We start from the raw sequence: 19739 nt of genomic DNA on the forward strand, positions 1-19739 counted from the left end.
CAGTGGCAGTATCTCGGTTCACTGCAGCCTCTGCCTCCTGGGTTCAAGTGATTCTCCCACTTAAGCCTCCCAGTTAGCTGGTATTAGAGGCACCCGCCACCACACCCTGCTGATTTTTGTATTTTTAGTAGAGACAGGGTTTCACCATGTTGGCCAGGCTGTCCTCTAACTCCTGACCTCAAGTGATCTGCCCGCCTCGGCCTCCCAAAGTGCTGGGATTATAGGCATGAGCCACCATGCCCAGGCCCTGGCTAATTTTTGTATTTTTTGTAGAGGCAGGGTTTCACCATGTTACCCAGGCTGGTCTTGAATTCCTGGGCTCAAGCGATCTGCCCATTTTGCCTCCCAAAGTGCTGGGATAATAGGCATGTGCCATAACATCTGGCTCTATTATTTAACATTTTTTATTTCTATGCATTAGATTTTTTGTTAAGTTTTTCTTCTGTCAGAATTGGGATCATGGATTTATTATTATTATGTTTTGACTATAGAGTACTTTTAGGATTTTTTTTTTTTGAGACAGGGTCTCTGTCACCCAGGCTCAAGTGCAGTAGCACTGTTATAGCTCACTGTAGCCTCAAACTCCTGGGCTCGTGCGATCTTCTACCTCACCCTCCCTGAGTAGCAGGGACTATAGGCATATGGTACCATGCCAGGCTAGTTTTTTTATTTTTGTAGAGATGGGGGGGTGGGTCTCAATATATTGCCTGGGCTGGTCTCGAACCCTTGGCTTGAAGAGATCCCTCCTGCCTTGGTTCCCCGATTTGCTGGGATTACAGGTGTGAACCATCTCACACGGCCCATTTAGGATTTTTTTTTTTTTTTTTTTTCTGAGATGGATTCTTGCTGTGTCGCCCAGATTGGAGTGCAGTTGTGTGATCTTGGCTCACTGCAACCTCCAACTCCCTGGTTCAAGCGATTCTCCTGCCTCAGCTTCCCGAGTAGCTGGGATTACAGGCACGTGCCACCACGCCCAGTTAATTTTTGTATTTTTAGTAGAGATAGGGTTTAACCACGTTGGCCAGGATAGTCTCGATCTCCTGACCTTGTGATCCACCTACCTCGGCCTCCCAAAGTGCTGGGATTACAGGTATGAGCCACCTCGCCCTGCCAGGATGTTATAATTAAAGTTGTTTTGAATTAAAATTTTAGTCTGAATACAAAATTTAGTACATGATATGAAAGTAAATTAACTGTTCTTTTGTTTTGTTGTTTTTGTTTTTGTTTTTGTTTTTGTTTTTGAGACAGTTTCCCTCTGTCGTCCAGGCTGGAGTGCAGTGGGCACAATCTCGGCTCACCTCCACCTCCTGGATTCAAGCAGTTCTACCACCTCAGCCTCTCAAGTAGCTGGAACTACAGGCACATGCCACCACATCTGGGTAATTTTTGTACTTTTTAGTAGTGATGGGATTTCACTGTGTTGGCCAGGCTGGTCTCCAACTCCTGACCTCAAAGTGATCCACCCACCTCAGCCTCCCAAAGTGCTGGGATTACAGGCATGAGTCACCACACCCAGCCGACATGAAAGTAAATTAACTGTGCAAACTAGTTTTTGTGTCTACTACTATAGTATAAAATATTAACTAGTGTAAATCCATTAACAAGATTTTTGGCCGGGCACGGTGGCTCATGGCCTGTAATCCTATCTTCGGGAGGCCAAGGCAGGCAGATCACCTGAGGTCAGGAGTTTGAGACCAGTCTGACCAACGTAGTAAAACCCCATCTCTACTAAAAATACAAAAATTAGGTGGTGTGGTGGCACACACCTGTAGTCCCAGCTACTCGAGAGGCTGAAGCAGGAAAATCGCTTGAACCCGGGAGGTAGAGGTTGCAGTGAGCCAAGGTTGTGTCACTGCATTCCAGCCTGGGCGACAGAGTGAGACTCCATCTCGAAAAATAAAATGATAAATAAAATAAAATAAATAGATTTTAGTCATTGCTATTTGTTACTGGTGTTTGTCTTATTTTAAAAATTTGATAAATGAAAGTATTAAATTATCCAAAGAATTTTGGAGTTATAATACCTATAACTTATTAGATTTATGTGTTGATTTAAAGCATTCTGGGCCAGGCATGGTGGCCTACGCCTGTAATCCCAGCCTGGACAACATGGTGAAGTCCCGTCTCTACAAAACATACAAAAACATTAGCCGGGCATGATGGCACACACCAGTCATTCCAGCTACTTGGGAGGCTGACACAGGAGGATCACTTGAACCTAGGAGGTTAAGGCTGCAGTGAGGTGTGATTGCACCACTGCACTGCAGCCTGGGCAATAGTGAGACCCTTTCTCCAAAAAAAATGTTTTTTTAAAATAAATAAATCAAGTATTCTGGAGTATAAAATAGAACTTAAAAGTTACCTTGTTTCTAGCAACACCACAGCTTACTAACAAGAATCCCAAAATGAGCCGAAGTGTTGGATATTCATATCCCTCCTTACCACCTGGTTATCAGAACACAACACCACCTGGTGCAACTGGAGTACCACCCTCTTCCTTGAATTACCCAAGTGGGCCACAAGCCTTTACTCAGGTAAACTTTTTGGGATTTTCTTTAACCTATTTCTCCATTTGGTTTAAACTGTATACACATGAAGAAAGTTTTAGGAAGGTATATTATACATTTTTATAACCATTTAGAATAATAATGGATATTTCATAAAGCCTTTGTCTTTATACATTTTTCCAGAACCAAAAGATTGGCCAAGAGATCTAGATTACACTTTTGTTATTTACAGAGAAATTAACCACTTCCCTACACACTTAATAAAAGTTACTTACTTTAAAATTATGTATCTGTAGACTCCCTTAGGTGCTAATCATTTAACCACAAGCATGAGTGGATTAAGTCTACAACCAGAGGGTCTAAGAGTTGTCAATCTTCTTCAAGAAAGAAACATGCTTCCGTCAACACCTTTGAAGCCTCCAGTTCCAAATTTGCATGAAGACATCCAGAAACTCAACTGTAACCCAGAGTAAGGCTTCAGATGTGACATTATGCATGTCCGAAAAGTTTTCTAGCTTTTTGCAGGGGGCACATCAGGTGTTATGAATAAGCTGTACAAATTATTAATTTATGAAAGTTCTGGATACAGATGATAGAACTCTTTTACTTGTTTACTTAATAGAGATTTGAAAAGTCCTACGTCAAGAAATAGGGATGTAACTCCTGAAGTGATTTTGTTCTTATCAGCTCTAATGAGATTATGATATTCATTATCATTATGGTGGTTACTTTCTTTCTTCAAAATCCAAAGTACAGGGATTTGTTTCTACATAATCCTTTATTTGCTCTCATTTAAAATTAATTTCATAACAAACATAATACCTTTTTTTCCTAAAAACTTACCATAAGCTTAAATGTATATGATCAATAATTTCTGATAAATTAAATTTGGTACCTTTAAATTGTATTTAGAATCTTCAGCAAAACTGAACTTTTAAATAATAGACTTTGCAATTTGGGCCATCACCTAAGTTTAATTTAATTCCAGTGTCAACTAGACTTACAAAACAAAAAATAAGTCATTTGATAGTTTAGACTGTTTTACACACAAGCCAAAAAGAGACTATATTTTAGTTATAGGATAACCATCCACTCTATTTCTGCATAGGACTTAGATTTAAATATTTAAATGGGATAAAATTTTGAGACTCTATTGAAATATTTCATCTGTAATCTGATCCAGTATTAAAATGTATACCTTTTAAATCTTTGTTGTTGTTTTCTTCAAAAATAATCATAGCAGCAACTGATACATACTTTTTACTTTGATATAGGTTATTTCGATGCACGCTGACTAGCATTCCTCAGACGCAGGCCTTATTGAATAAAGCCAAACTTCCTTTGGGGCTGCTGCTTCATCCTTTCAAAGACTTAGTGGTATGTTTCTTTTCTTTTCTTTTTTTTTTTTTGAGACGGAGTCTCCCTCTGTCGCCCAGGCTGGAGTGCAGTGACGCAGTCTCAGCTTATTGCAACCTCTGCCCTCCATGTTCAAGTGATTTTCCTGCCTCAGCCTCCCTAGTAGCTGGGATTACAGGTGCCTGCCACCGTGCCTGGCTAATTTTTGTATTTTTAGTAGAGAGGGGGTTTCACCATCTTGGCCAGGCTGGTCTTGAACTCCTGACCTCGTGATCCACCTGCCTTGGCCTCCCAAAGTGCTGGAATTACAGGCGTGAGCCTCTGCGCCCGGCTCTTTTTTTTTTTTTTTTTTTTTTTCTGAGACTGGGTCTCACTGTCGCCCAGGCTGGAGTGTAGTGGCGAGATCTCGGCTCACCGCAATCTCCGCCTCCCAGGTTCGGGCAATTCTCTTGCCTCAGCTTCCTAAGTAGCTGGCATTATAGGCATCTGCCACCACACCCAGCTAATTTTTTTATTTTTAGTAGAGATGGTGTTTCACCATGTTGGCCAGACTGGTCTCGAACTGACCTCAAGTGATCTGCCCACCTCCCAAAGTGCTGGGATTTATAGGCCTGAGCCACTACACCCGGCCTCTTTAGTGAAGGTAAATGTCTTTTGTGCAAAATTATCTTGGTGATGAAAATTTTCTGCAATGATGCAAGAATTACATATAGAATTTGTTTGATCTGTCTTTAGGAAGTCGATGATTGACAGATTACTTACAATTCAACCAAAAATTTTATTACTAAACACTTTCAAATACTAGGTAAAGTAAGTATATTGCTGGAAAATTCAAAAAGTACTGAATAGAATAGAGGTACTGAGAGAAACTAAATAAATGAATCATACTATTTTAATAGGTTGTGAATTATTTACCCATTAAAGTACTTTACCCTAGTCTCCCCGTTCTGCCATCCTTGCAGTAAAATTTGTTATTTTAAAAAGTTGTTTTAAGCCAGACATGGTGGCTCATGGCCTGTAATCCCAGCACTTTTGGAGGCCAAGGTGGGAGAATTGCTTGGGTCTATGAGTTCAAGACCAGCTTAGTCCTGGCTACTCGGGAGGCTAAGGTGGGAGGATCACTTGAGCCCAGGAGGTTGAGGCTGCAGTGAGACATGATTGTACTACTGCACTCCAGCCTGGGTGGCAGAGTGAGACCCTGTATCCAAAAAGAAAAGTTATTTCAGAAGAAAAAAGAAACTGATCTACCTTTGTCCTAAAGCTCTGTGGCCACATACTCTTGAGGATTGCTGACTTTCCCAAAACACACTACTTTTGGTGATAGGATTTTTTTGGTGGTGATATAATTTTATTGCCTGTATTGATTTTTTTTTTTTTTTTTAAGAAGCAGAGTCTTAACTGCATTGCCCAGGATTGGGTATGAGATCCTTATCTTAAAAAAAAAAAATAAAGGCCAGGTGCAGTGGCTCACACCTGTAATCCTAGCACTTTGGGAGGCTGAGGCGGGCAGATCACCTGAGGTCAGGAATTCAAGACCAGCCTGGCCAACGTGGTGAAACTCGTCTCTACCAGAAATAGAAAATTTAGCCAAGCATGGTGATGCACACCTATAATCCCAGCTACTGGGGAGGCTGAGGCAAGGGAATCGCTTGAACCCGGGAGGTGGAGGTTGCAGTGAGCCAAGATCCCACACTGTACTCCAGTCTGGGCAATAGAGTGAGACTGTCTCAAAAAAAAAAAAAAAGATAAATAAAACCTTTCTTTAAAGATGAGATGCTATGTCACTTTGTTGTCCAAGGCACTGGCTCTCAGTTAAGTTGATCAGTGTTCACCTGTCTCAGGGTTTCTGGTAAATCAAAACAAATCTCCCCAAATCTGATAGTCTTACAAAGACCCTTCCCACGTATTTACTGTTATTTATTTATTTATTTATTAGAGACCGGGTCTCTCGTTGTCACCCAGGTTAGAGTGCAGTTCCATGATCATAGCTCACTGCAGCCTTGAACTCTTGGGCTCAAGCAGTCCTCCTGCCTCAGCCTCCAGACAGAGTAAGTGGTACTGTAGGCATTGGCCACTATACCCAGCTAAGACTTTAGAACTTTTAATATGTAGGATAAACTTTAACTAGGAGTGTAATTCCAAAGTTTAACTGGTTATTTAAATTAACCTCACCTTACTTTATTATAGTTGAGAACTAAGTAAGCTTCTTAATGTAACATCAACAAACTTTGTAATAGTTTCATTGGTCATATATTTTAGAATGTTGATTTTTTTTTCTTTGCCATTTATGCCAAAAGTACATTGTAAATTTACCATCTTGGTTTTATTTTTTTAACTTATTATTTATTTATTTAAAAACTCTTTTTTTTTGGTAGAGATGGGCTGTTGCTGTGTTGCTCAGGTTGGTCTCTACCTCCCAGCCTCAAGTGATCCTCCTGCTTTGGCCTTCCAAAGCACTGGGATATATATATATATATTTTTTTAATTTATTTCCAAGATGGAGTCTTGCTCTGTTGCCCAGGCTGGAGTACAGTGGTGTAATCTTGGCTCACTGCAACCTCTGCCTCCCAGGGTTGAAGCAATTCTCCTGCCTCAGCCTCCTGAGTAGCTGGGATTATAGGCACCTGCCACTACGCCTAGCTAATTTTTGTATTTTTAGTATAGACGAGGTTTCACCACGTTGGCCAGGCTGGTCTTGAACTCCTGACCTCGCGTTCCACCCGCCTTGGCCTCCCAAAGTGCTGGGATTACAGGCATGAGCCACCACGCCCAGCCTATTTTTATTTTTAAAATAGAGACAGGGTCTTACTTTCTTGCCCAGGTTGGTCTCAAACTCCTGGCCTCAAGTAATCTTCCTGCCTTGGCCTCCCACCAGAGTGCTGGGATTTTAGACATAGGTGTTAGCCACTGTGCCTGGCCTGCTATTTTGGTTTTGCAATATGAGTGTTTAATGAGGAAAAAAATGGTTTTTACATTTTTATTTTATTTTATTTTTTGAGACTGGGTCTTGCTCTGTTGCCCATGTTGGAGTGCAGTGGCTCAGTCATGGCTCACTGCAGCCTTGACCTCCCAGGCTCAAGTGATGCTCCCACTTCAACCCAGCTCACCACACTGGGCTAATTTTTTAAATCTTTTGAGAGGGTCATGTTTCACTATGTTGCCCAGGCCGGTCTCAAACTCCTGGCCTCAAGCAATCCTTCCGCCTTGGCTCCCAAAGTGCTGGAGTTACACATGTGAGCCACTGTCCCCAGCCAATAATTTTTTTTTTTAAGACAACTTTTAATGAGAATGGTCTTGGAGCAAAATAGTAGGGTTTAAAATTAATACATTTCAACTACATGGTTTTTGTGTATGGCAGTTTAGATACATCTTGTACTCTAAGTTTTCTCTAAAATGATAATATCCCAACAGTTATTTAGACAGGATGGATTCATGCTTATGTTTTCAACATGATGATTTTTGCCTTTAAAAATTTAATTCTGTTTTTTTTTTTCCAGCAATTGCCTGTGGTTACCTCCAGTACAATTGTGAGATGCCGTTCATGCAGGACGTACATCAATCCTTTCGTCAGCTTTCTTGATCAAAGGAGATGGAAGTGTAACTTATGTTATCGAGTCAATGATGGTATGGGATGCTTTTTTGAAACATTTAAACGTTTCTACTTGCATTGTAGGGAAATCAGATGATACAAATGCACAGTTAAAAAAAAAAAACCCTTTTATTTACCTCTAGTCAATCCTTCCACTCAGAGAAAACTACAGGTAACTTTTTTCTGTGCGTTTATATTTATAAATAAATTTAATTATTTATTTTTTAAGCAAAAAATAATGATAGTATTACATGGATATCCCATTTTTACATTGTATTGGGTATATAATAAGTGGTATATTTCATGGTATTACTTAAGCCAGGAATTTAAGAAACATTTTTATTTAGAAATTGTCCCACGCCTTTTCTCTAGGGTGAAAGAAAATAAGTCCACAGAATAGCTGCCCAATTCATTCACTGCTGAATGAAGGGAAGTAGGCAGTGCTAGAAGGTTAGTTGAATGTAGTTTTCTCAGTAATTGAGGAGGAGGAGATTTCTCTCAATAACTATGTCACAGTTTTTATTTGAGGACTATAATGTAATCAACAGGGTTCTGTTAGTATTAGAGAAGGAAGTGGGTATGCCAGTATCCACAGTGTCTATTTGAAAGATTTGAGAAATAGAGGAATATAAGAGTTTTGTTTTTGTTTTTGTTTTTGAGATGGAGTCTCACTCTGTTGCCCAGGCTTGAGTGCAGTGGCACGATCTTGGCTCACTGCAACCTCCGCCTCCCAGGTTCAAGCGATTCTCCTGCCTCAGCCTCCTGAGTAGCTGGAATTACAGGCATCCACCACCACGGCCGGCTAATTTTTATATTTTTAGTAGGGGTGGAGTTTCACCGTTTTGGCCAGGCTGGTCTAGAACTCCTGACCTCAAGTGATCTGCCCACCTCAGGCTCCCAAAGTGCTGGGATTAACAGGCATGAGCCACTGCACCCGGCCAAGAGTTTGTTTTTGTTTGTTTGTTTTTGAGACAGAGTCTGGCTCTGTCGCCAGGCTGGAGTGTAGTGGCATGATCTCAGCTCACTGAAACCTCTCTGCCTCCCAGGTTCAAGCAATTCTCCTGCCTCAGCCTCCCGAGAACACACCCAGCCCTGGCCAAGAGTTTTTAAAAACCAGTTTTATTGGATGGGCACGGTGGCTTACGCCTCTAATCTCAGCACTTTGGGAGGCCGAGGCGGTGGATCACCTGAGGTCAGGAGTTCGAGATCAGTGTGGCCAACACAGTGAAACCCCATCTTTACTAAAAATACAATAATTAGCCGGGTGTGGTGGCGGGCACCTATAATCCCAGCTACTCGGGAGGCTGAGGCAGGAGAATCGCTTGAACCCAGGAAGCAAAGGTTTCAGTGAGCCGAAATCGAGTCATTGCACTCCAGCCTGGGCGACAGAGCGAGACTCTGTCTCAAAAACAAACAAAACAGAGCCAGGTGCAGTGGCTCATGCCTGTAATCCCAACACTTTGGGAGGCTGAGGTGGGTGGATCACCTAAGGTCAGGAGTTTGAGACCAGCCTGGCCAATGTAGTGAAACCCCATCTTTACTAAAAATATAAAAAAATTAGCTGGGTGTGGTGGCGGGCACCTGTAATCCCAGCTACTCGGGAGGCTGAGGCAGGAGAATCGCTTGAACCCGGGAGGCGGAGGTTGCAGTGAACCGAGATTGCACCATTGCACTCCAGCCTTGGCAACAAGAGCAAAACTCCATCTCAAACAAACAAATAAAACAAAACAAAAAAACAGTTTTATTGTTTGTGTGTGTGTGTGTGTGTGTGTGTGTGTGTGTGTGTTTTGAGTATAGAAAAGTAAGGATAGGCTAAGAACTTTCTCTTGCACTGTAACAATTCTGAAAATGTACATGAAGTATTTAGTTACCTTTAAAATTTTTATGTGTAGGTGCTTTAATATACAAAATGAAATTATAATAAAAGTTGAAGCCCCTTTCATCTGCAAACCAGGCTATTTCCTGAACTATAGCTTAACCTTTAGAGTGCATAGGGATTTGAATTTCTAAACAATTAGTAGGAAGACAGATACAATGATAATTAATTTAGAAAATACTCTTTGACCACTAGTGTATTATAAGTGGTAGGTATGATGTTAGGTTAAGTGATGTTCCATAAAGTTCTCATTAATTAATGAAACTTACTAAACCTTATGACCTTGACCTCTGAAATTGTCTTACCATAGCTTCTAGTGCCAGCTAGTGTCTGTACATTTCATATGTGAAATGTTAATATCCTTGTATAATTGGGAAGTTTAAGAAAATAGGCCGGGTGTGGTGGCTCACATCTGTAATCCCAGCACTTTGGGAGGCCAAGGCGGGCGGATCACCTGAGGTTGGGAGTTCGAGACCAGCCTGACCAACATGGAGAAACCCCGTCTGTACTAAAAATACAAAAAATTAGCCGGGCGTGGTGGCGCATGCCTGTAATCCTAGCTACTCGGGAGGCTGAGGCAGGAGAATCGCTTGAACCTAGGAGGTGGAGGTTGCAGTGAGCTGACATTGCACCACTGCACTCCAGCCTGGGCAACAGAGTGAAACTCTGTCTCAAAAAAAAAAAAGAAAATAATTGACATTTAATGAATGTTTGTCATCTTTTCAAGGAAGAAAGTGGCCAAATGCAAAATACATTAAATTCTTTTCAGTTTTTTCAATATGTGTATTGTTAACTTTATATAGTTCCTGAAGAATTCTTGTACAACCCTTTGACCAGAGTTTATGGAGAACCTCACAGAAGACCAGAAGTTCAAAATGCTACTATTGAGTTTATGGCTCCTTCAGAATACATGGTAAACTTTTATTTTTTGATACAGTATACCCATTTTTTATTACCAGGTTTTAAGTAAAACAATACAGCATCCTGTAACAAAATTTTATTTTATTTTATTTTGAGACAGAGTTTCACTCTCATTGCCCATGCTGGAGTGCAGTGGTGCAGTGGCAGGTTCAAGGCTCACTGCAGCCTCGACCTCCCGTGCTCAAGTGATCCTCCCACCTCAGCCTCCTGAGTAGCTGGGGCTATAGGCACGCACCACCACACCTGGCTTATTTTTATTAGAGACAGAGTTTTGCTATGTTGCCCAGGCTGGTCTCGAATTCCTGGGCTCGAGTGATCTGCCCACCTTGGCCTCCCAAAGTGCTGGGATTACAGGTGTGAGCCGCTGTGCCCAGCCAAAATTTTATGTTTTTAAATGTGTAAAAGTGTAATACTTGTTTATTACTAAAGTAATTAATATATAAGGGTATATTTGAAAGGTAAAAGTTTATGTAAAGTCCCATTTAAGTGTCTTATGTGACATTCAGAAATTTCCAATATGATATTGGGCTCGTATTTACTTTTTTTTTTTGAGACGGAGTCTCACTCTGTCACCCAGGCTGGAGTGCAGTGCTGTGATCTTGGCTCACTGCAACCTCCGCCTCCCGGGTTCAAGCAATTCTCCTGCCTCAGCCTCCTGAGTAGCTGGGATTATAGGCGCGAGCCAACACCTGGCTAATTTTTGAGTTTTTAATAGAGACGGGGTTTCACCATGTTGGTCAGGCTGGTCTCAAACTCCTGACCTTGTGATCCTCCCACCTCGGCCTCCCAGAGTGCTGGGATTACAGGCATGAGCCACCGTGCCCGGCCAGCTCATATTTACTTATAAGTTACAGTCAGTTTTTTTTTCCCTATTGCTTCATTTTTCCTTCATACAAATTTTTTTTCTATTAGAAATAATGCTGTGATGAAGATCCTCTTGCAAATATTGTTCTTTTCTACACCCGTGAGAATATCTGAGGTCTTGCATTTTAAAACTAATTACTATGCCTAATTTTTTTGTTTAACGTTTATTTCTTTTAGAGAGGAGGGTCTTACTTTGTTGCTGAAGCTAAAGTGCAGTGGCACTATCATAGCTCACTGTAGCCTCAACTTCATGGGCTCAAGCAATTCTCCTGCCTCAGCCTCCCAAGTAGCTGGGACTACAGACATGCACCACCATGCCCTGCTAATTTTTTAAAAGTTTTTTAGAGACAGAGTCTCACTATGTTGCTTAGGCTGCTTGTGAATGCCTAATGTTTAATTAGCACTTTACATTTTATAAAGCACGTACACTTTTGATCAGCACAAACAGTATTCTGAAGCAAGCTAGAAAAATGCTGTTAATCCTCTTTTACAGATATGAAAACAGACTTAGGTTAAGTGACATGCCAAATTTCACTTAGTAGTAGAACTTGCATAATAATTTAGGCCTTTTGATTTGGTTACTCTTTCACCATGCCATAATTATCTCTTGGGAAAAGGGAATATGAAGATAACTCTCAACACTACCTTTTAATATTTTAGTGTATTTTGGCTGGGCACAGTGCCTCCTGCCTGTAATCCCAGCACTTTGGGATGCCAAGCCAGACGGATTATGAGGTCAGGAGTTCGAGACCAGCCTGGCCAACATGGTAAAACCCCGTCTCTACTAAAAATACAAAAATTAGCCGGGCCTGGTGGTGAGTGCCTGTAATCCCAGCTACTTGGGAGGCTTAGGCAGGAAAAATGCTTGAAACCGAAAGTCAGAGGTTGCAGTGAGCCAAGGTTGCGCCACCACACCCCAGCCTGGGCAAAAGAGCGAAACTCCATCTCAAAAAAAAAAAAAAAAAATTAATATATTTTTGTGTCTTTATCTGGGCAGTTGGGTCCATTTTTCTGTAAACTTATGAGGAACCAGTCTCCTTACCACAGAAAAGCTTCTATATAGAAAACATTTTGTTGGCCAGGTGCAGTGGCTCACACCCGTAATCCCAGCAATTTGGGAGGCCAAGGTGGGCGGATGACTGGAGGTCAGGAGTTCGACACCAGCCTTACCAACATGGTGAAACCCCATCTCTATTAAAAATACAAAAGTTAGCCAGATGTGGTGACATACGCCTGTAATCCCAGCTACTTGGGAGACTGAGGCAGGAGAATTGCTTGAACCAGGGAGGCAGAGGTTGCAGTGAGCCGAGATTGCGCCACTGCACTCCAGCCTGGGCAACCGTGCGAGACTCCATCTCAAAAAACAAAAAAGAAAAAGAAAACATTTTGTTGCACTTAAGTGGTTGGTAATAGCCATCTACAGAGTAGATGTTCCTTTATTGGATTAAAACAAAAAAAACCAGAAGCACTTGTTCTTTTAAATTTACCTTCCTAGTTTCCCTTTATCACCCACACTTTGCAAAAATTGCTTCCTTTAAATTTAGAAACTTTCCTATAGCAGAAGGTGTTTGCTCCTTTCTATCTCTTGAGGGGCAGGTTGTGTGGATTTGGCAAGTGATACATGCAAAAATATATAAAAGTACAGTTGACTCTGTATCCATGAGTTCTGCATCCGTGGATTCAACTACCCATGGATCGAAAATGTTCAGAAAAACACAGTAAAAAATATTATAGGACAGACATGGTGGCTCACACCTATAATCCCAGCACTTTGGGAAGCCGATGCAGGAGGATTGCTTGAAGCCAACAGTTCGAGACCAGCCTGGGCAATGTAGCGAGACCCAAGTCTCTGCAAAAAATTTCAGGAATTGTGGTGTGTGCTTATAGTCCCAGGTACTTGGGAGGCTGAGGTGGAAGGATCGCTTGAGCCCAGGAGTTCAAGGCTGCAGTGAGCTGTGATTGCATTGCATCACTGCACTCCAGCCTGAGTGACAGAGCAACACCTTCTCTCTAAAAAAAAAAAAATAATAATACAAATTTTAATATACAGTATAGCAACTATTTACATAGCATTTATGTTGTATTAGGTATTATTTTAAAAATCTAGAGATGATTTAAAGTATACAAAAGGATGTGCATAGGTTATATGCAAATAATACACTATTGTATGTAAGGGAATTGAGCATCCTTAGATTTTGGTATTCGAGGTGGGAGATCCTGGAACTAATCTCTTGCAGATACCAAGGGAAGATTGTATACTACATACCCAGTTCTGACTGTGGCTATTTGATGCTTTTTACTGAATTGAGAACAAATCTTTGGATTTGGAAGTTTAAAATACAGTCTTGGCCAGGTGCAGTGGCTCACACCTGTAATCCCAGCACTTTGGGAGGCAGCGAAGGCGGGCGGATCACATGAGATCAGGAGTTCAAGACCAGCCTGGCCAAAATGGTGAAACCCTGTCTCTACTAAAAAAATACAAAAATTAGCCGGGCGTGGTGGCGCGTGCCTGTAATCCCAGCTACTCAGGAGGCTGAGGCAGGAGAATCTCTTGAACCCAGGAGGCAGAGGTTGCAGTGAGCTGAGATCACACCACTGCTCTCCAGCATGGGGGACACAGCGAGACTCCATCTCAAAGTAAAAAAAAAAATACAGTCTTATGTTTTTATGAGATTTGGCTGTAATTTGTTGTTTAAATAACCAGCTGAAGCTAACTTGTAACTTTCAGAGCTATAATTTCCCTAAATTGTGAAATCCAACAAACATATTGAAAAATCAATAAAACACAAAATATTCAGATTACCAAATCATTATAAACTAAACACTTTTGTTAGTATAACCCAAGCCAAGCAGTTGAACCTTGCTAATACTCCCAGAATCCCTTCTTTTTTTTTTTTTGAGATGGAGTCTCACTTTGTCGCCCAGGCTAGAGTGCAGTGGCATAATCTCGGCTCACTGCAACCTCCATCTCTCAGGTTCAAGTGATCCTCCTGCCTCAGCCTCCCGAGAGTAGCTGGGACTACAAGCGCCTGCCACCACATCTGACTAATTTTTGTATTTTTAGTAGAGACGGGGTTTCGCCATGTTGGTCACGCTGGTCTCGAACTCCTGACCTCAGGTGATCTGCCCGCCTTGGCCTCCCAAAGTGCTGGGATTACAGGCATGAGCCACCACGCCCAGCCACAGGCCCTTCTGATTACATCTCTTCCCCTTCCTGTTCTAGAGAAAACACTCTTCTGAATTACGGCAATCACAGACTCATTTTTCCTTTAAGTGTACATCTATAAACAATATAGTATAGCTTTGCCTGTTTATTATAATCTCTACTCAATCTGTAAATAATGCTTTTTAAATTGTTTTGCTGTATGTGTACCCAGCAAATAAGTTTAAACTTAATCCTGTTAAATGTACTTAACAAGATCTTTTTTTCTTCAGTTACGACCACCTCAGCCTCCAGTGTATCTCTTTGTATTTGATGTGTCTCACAATGCAGTCGAAACTGGATACTTGAATTCAGTTTGCCAGAGTTTGTTAGACAATCTGGATTTGTAAGTTTCTCAATTCAGCTTAAATATGAAACTAATAATATTTTCTAAATGAATAAGTAGTTTTTGAAATTAAAAAATAAAAGCTGTATAATTATGTTCTAAAACTCCACCCAAATCAGTTGTTAATTTAGGCCTCACTTTCTCTTCGAAACATTATTTTTAAATCTATAGTTGGTAGGAAGAATAATGTAATGAACTTCCAGTCACCTGTCACCCAGATTCATCATCTTCAGCATTTTGCTATTTTTGCTTAATCTCATCCTTCCCCTTTCATGCACATACCTTTTCCCACCTTGAGTATTTGAAAGCAAATTTCAGCCAGCATACTGTTTTACCTATACGTACTTCAAGACTAACTTTTATACCTAACTATAATACTAAAGTATTAAGGAAAATTAGCAGTAATTCCACATATGATCTAATACCTAGTTTATTTTTTGTTCCTAGTTGTCTCAAAAATGCCTTTTTACTGTCAGTTTATTGGAGTAAGAATTTAAACAGTATACACACATTGCATTTGGTTATCAAGTGTCTTAAGTCTCTTAAAATAACTATTTCCAGTGGTGCTTAGAGACCTAGTGTAACCCATCAAAGCTAATGTGACCTTTCTATGTAATGAAGTATAGTGCTTGTGTGTGGTGTGGAGGCATATAGAAGGCCAAATTTCATCACGAGTGGAGTAACTCCTTCACTTTGGTGAAAAGCTCATTCTTGTTCCTGCCAGCATTTGTATTTTTAATGTTGTAGATTGTGAATGGGGATTGTGAATTGATGAGATTGTCACTGACTCACCCATGCATGAACAAGAGTGAAAAACAGTTTGTTCTTCCCCTTATATAATTGTAGTTCCACATATTTGTAGTTCTTTAAAATAGATGCTTTTGCTTTTCTTTGTTCTTAAATATTAGAGTTTCTGTATCATAATATTTTGAAGCATGCTTTATAACTTAAAATCATCTGCAAAATTTCATTAATACTTTTCAGTATTTTTAACATACTGTTTCCTAAGTGATTATATGTAGCTTTACATAGCTATACTTGGTTTTGGATTGTTGTATTATTGCTGTTTTTTGTTTATTGTTTGGCTTACATGTAGTGTTTTCCCTTTGAGTCAGATATGTTTTCATGGTAAACGTTGGGTGGTTTAAACATTTGTTTGTGTTGGGCCAATTTCTATAATATTGAATTAGATATTTTCATGTAACTCTTAGGACATATTTTATGTGTATTTGTATGTGGTTAAAACTTGATAAAATACTCTTCTGAATTTGTTTTTAGGCTTCCTGGCAACACTAGAACAAAAATTGGCTTCATAACATTTGACAGTACAATCCATTTCTACGGTCTTCAGGAAAGTCTCTCTCAACCTCAGATGCTAATAGTTTCAGATATTGAAGGTATAGATTTATTGAACTACTTTCATAATTTTTCAGTTTTAGAAATATTTCTTGATTACTTGACAAATTGGATGTGTGTTGTTTGTAGTATGTCAAGGAAAATCTTGAGTATAAAATCATGATTGTTGGAGTTGTAAGAGTCTTTCAGTTCAATCTCTCATTTTATGGAGGAGGAAATGGGGGTTATGGAGACAACCCGCTGAACAAGTTAACAAAAACAAGTTAATGTTAGAACTCAGATCAAATTTAGGCTTTTTTTCCCCCTTCTTCCCATTTATTCATTCAAAAAGTATTTGAGGATAGACATATAGAGCAAGGAAATAGAATTGAGAGCTCAGAATAAAGCCTAGCATATATAGTCAATTGATTTTATTTATTTATTTATTTATTTATTTATTGAGATGGAGTCTCACTCTGTCGCCCAGGCTGTAGTGCAGTGGCACGATCTTGGCTTACTGCAGCCTATGCCTCCCGGTTTCAAGCAATTCTCCTGCCTCAGCCTCCCGAGTAGCTGGGACAACAGGCATGCAACACCATGCCCAGCTAATTTTTGTATTTTTAGTAGAGATGAGGTTTCACCATGTTGGCCAGGCTGGTCTCAAACTCCTGACCTCAAGTGATCTGCCTCTCTTGGCCCCACAAAGTACTGGGATTACAGGCATGAGCCACCACCCACAGCCAGTTAAGTGATTTTTGACAAAGGTGCCTAGAACAATCAGTGGGAGAAGAGACAGTTTTTTCAACAAATAGTTGTGGCAATACTGCCTATGTAAGAGAATGAGGTTGGACCTTTACTTTATACCATGTAAAGAAAATTAACTTGAAATGGACTAAAGACCTAAACTTAAGAGCTATAAGTATAAAACAGGGGCAAATATTTATGCCACTAGATGTGGAAACATTAGAACCCTGGTGCACTGCTGGTCAGAATGTAAAATGGCATAACTGCTGTGGAAAATACCTTGGCAATTCCTCAAAGTTAATGGTGAATTATCACATTATGTAGCAATTCCACCGTTCAATATATACTCCAAAAAATCGAAAGCAGAGACTCAAGCGGATGCTTGTACATCATTGTTTATAGCAATAGCAATCATTCACAATAGCCAAAAGGTGGAAACACCCCAAGTAGCCATCAACAGATGAATAGATAAATAAAATGTGGTATAAACGTATAATGGGGCCGAGTGCGGTGGCTCACGCCTGTAATCCCAGCACTTCAGGAGGCCGAGGCGGGTGGATCACGAGGTCAAGAGATCAAGACCATCCTGGCCAACATGGTGAAACCCCGTCTCTACTAAAAATACAAAAATTAGTTGGGCGTGGTGGTGCGTACCTGTAGTCCCAGCTACTCGGGAGGCTGAGGCAGGAGAATGGCGTGAACTCGGGAGGAGGCGGAGCTTGCAGCAAGCCGAGATCGTGCCACCGCACTCCAGCCTGGACGACAGAGTGAGACTCCATCTCAAGAAAAAAAAAAAAAACGTATAATGGAATATTTATTATTCAGCCTTAAAAAAACAATGAAATTCTCACACGTGCTACAATGTGGATGAACCTGGAAAACATGCTAAGTGAAATAAGCAAGACACAAACCGACAAATATTGTATGGTTCCACTTATATATAGTACCTAGAATAGGCAAATTCATAGAGACAGAAAATGGAATAGAGGTTACCAGGGGCTGGGGGGGGAGGGCGATTAATAGGGAGTTGTCATAATTATTACATTTTTTTTTTGAGATGGAGTTTCACTTTTGTTGCCCAAGCTGGAGCGCAATGGCGCCATCTCGGCTCGCTGCAACCTCCACCTCCCAGGTTCAAGTGATTTTCCTACCTCAGCCTCCTGAGTAGCTGGGATTATAGGTGCGTGCCACCACGCCCAGCTAATTTTTTGTATTTTTAGTAGAAACAAGGTCTTACCGTGTTAGCCAGGCTGGTCTTGAACTCCTGACCTCAGGTGATCTGCCCGCCTCTGCCTCCCAAAGTGCTGGGATTACAGGTGTGAGTCACTGTGCCTGGCTATTACTATTTTTTTAAAGACAGAGACTCTTGTTGCCCATGTTGCAGTGCAATGGTGCAATCATAGCTTGCTGCAGCCTTGAAGCCCTGGGCTCAAGCGATCCTTCCACCTCGGCTTTTCAAGTAGCTGGAAATACAGGCACACGCTACCACGCCCAGCTAATTTTTAAAATTTCTTGTAGAGGCAAGGTCTTGCTAAGTTGCACAGGCTGGTCTCAAACTCCTGGCCTTAGGCAGTCCTTTCGCCTCATCCTCCCAAAGTGTTGAGAGTATAGGCATGGGCCACCACACCTGGCCAGGCCTTATTTTTTTGTAATCAGAAACAAAATATAGAAATCTAGAAAGTGATTATCCTTGTAATCCTCCACCACTCTCTTCCCAGTTTGCTCCCTTTCTAAGGAAGAATTCCTAAGCAATTATTGAATAAATGTGAATCCTGAGAGGCTCATCTGAAGTGGTCAGGTAGCATACCTTCTGATTCACTTGATTTTGCAGTCCCATTAATTTTGTTTGTTCGTTTTGTTTTGTGTTTTTGGAGACAGAGTCTTGCTTTGTTGCCCAGGCTGCAGTGCAGTGGCGCGATCTCAGCTCACTGGCTCACTGGCTCACTGCAGTCTCTGCCTCCCAGGTTCAAGCGATTCTCATGCCTCAGCCTTCCGAGTAGCTGGGATTACAGGCATGTGCCATTATGCCTAGCTAATTTTTGTGGTTTTTAGTAAATAATGGGGTTTCACTATGTTGGCCAATCTGGTCTCAAACTCCTGGCCTCAAGTGAACTGCCCACCTCGGCCTCCCAAAGTGCTGGGATTATAGCAGGCATGAACCACCATGCCCGGCCTCCATAGTCCCATTCTTTTTTTTTTTTTTTTTGAGAAGGAGTCTTGCTCTGTCACCCAGGCTGGAGTGCAGTGGCGCGATCTTGGTGGCTCACTGCAAACTCTGCCTCCTGGGTTCAAGCAATTCTCTGCCTCAGCCTCCCGAGTAGTTGGGCTTACAGGTGCCCACCACGCCTGGCTACTTTTTATATTTTTAGTAGAGACAGGGTTTCACCATCTTGGCCAGGCTGGTCTTGAACTCCTGACCTCATGATCCACCTGCCTCAGCCTCCCAAAGTGCTGGGATTACAGGCACGAGCCACCGCACCCAGCCCATAGTCCCTTTTTAAAGGCACTGGTGTGGGCCTTCTTTTTTTTTTTTTTTGAGACGAGTCTTGATTGATCTGTCACCCAGGCTGGAGTGCAGTGGCACTATCTCGGCTCACTGCAACCTCCGCCTCCCGGGTTCAAGTGATTCTCCTGCCTCAGCCTCCCGAGTAGCTGGGACTACAGGTGCCCACCACCACGCCTGGCTAACTTTTTGTATTTTTACTAGAGACAGGGTTTCACCACATTGCTCCTGACCTTGTGATCCGCCCGCGTCGGCCTCCCAAAGTACTGGGATTACAGGCATGAGCCACCGTGCCCGGCCGACCTTCTTTATGAGAAAGCATCTGCTTTGTGAATGACAGAGCTATTGGTGAGCTGTATTGCTTCCTTATGAAGACAGCATTCTTGTGTGTCATGTTAGTCAAAAAAATTTCTTAATGCCAAGAGTGTATCTTTGGCTGGCTTCCAGGGCCAGCCATTTAAAAAAAAAAAAAAAGGTCAAAGCAGAATTGTAAATT

The 19739-nt window shown here is 41.3% G+C and overlaps 1 protein-coding gene across 7 annotated transcripts in view, besides 1 other annotated feature; it reads left to right on the forward strand.

Annotated features, from left to right (window-relative positions):
• SEC24A (SEC24 homolog A, COPII component) overlaps positions 1-19739 on the forward strand; it is a 79528-nt gene that overhangs the window by 23860 nt on the left and 35929 nt on the right. For all 7 annotated transcript variants that reach the window (XM_017008961.3, XM_047416648.1, NM_021982.3 and 4 more), the window contains 7 exons: positions 2374-2534; positions 2804-2976; positions 3782-3884; positions 7361-7487; positions 10132-10241; positions 14549-14661; positions 15940-16058. In XM_017008961.3, the coding sequence (XP_016864450.1) occupies positions 2374-2534; positions 2804-2976; positions 3782-3884; positions 7361-7487; positions 10132-10241; positions 14549-14661; positions 15940-16058 (906 nt within the window). The remainder of the gene's footprint in view (positions 1-2373; positions 2535-2803; positions 2977-3781; positions 3885-7360; positions 7488-10131; positions 10242-14548; positions 14662-15939; positions 16059-19739) is intronic.
• Positions 18524-18722: a silencer, noted in NCBI's record as "fragment chr5:134026455-134026653 (GRCh37/hg19 assembly coordinates)". NCBI's record gives its function as "represses an EF-1alpha promoter that drives an FKBP-Casp9 reporter gene in an ReSE screen in K562 erythroleukemia cells {active_cell/tissue: K562}" and the evidence as "EXISTENCE:reporter gene assay evidence [ECO:0000049][PMID:32094911]".

Source organism: Homo sapiens, chromosome 5, assembly GCF_000001405.40.
Source record: "Homo sapiens chromosome 5, GRCh38.p14 Primary Assembly".
NCBI classification, from domain to species: Eukaryota; Metazoa; Chordata; class Mammalia; order Primates; family Hominidae; genus Homo; species Homo sapiens.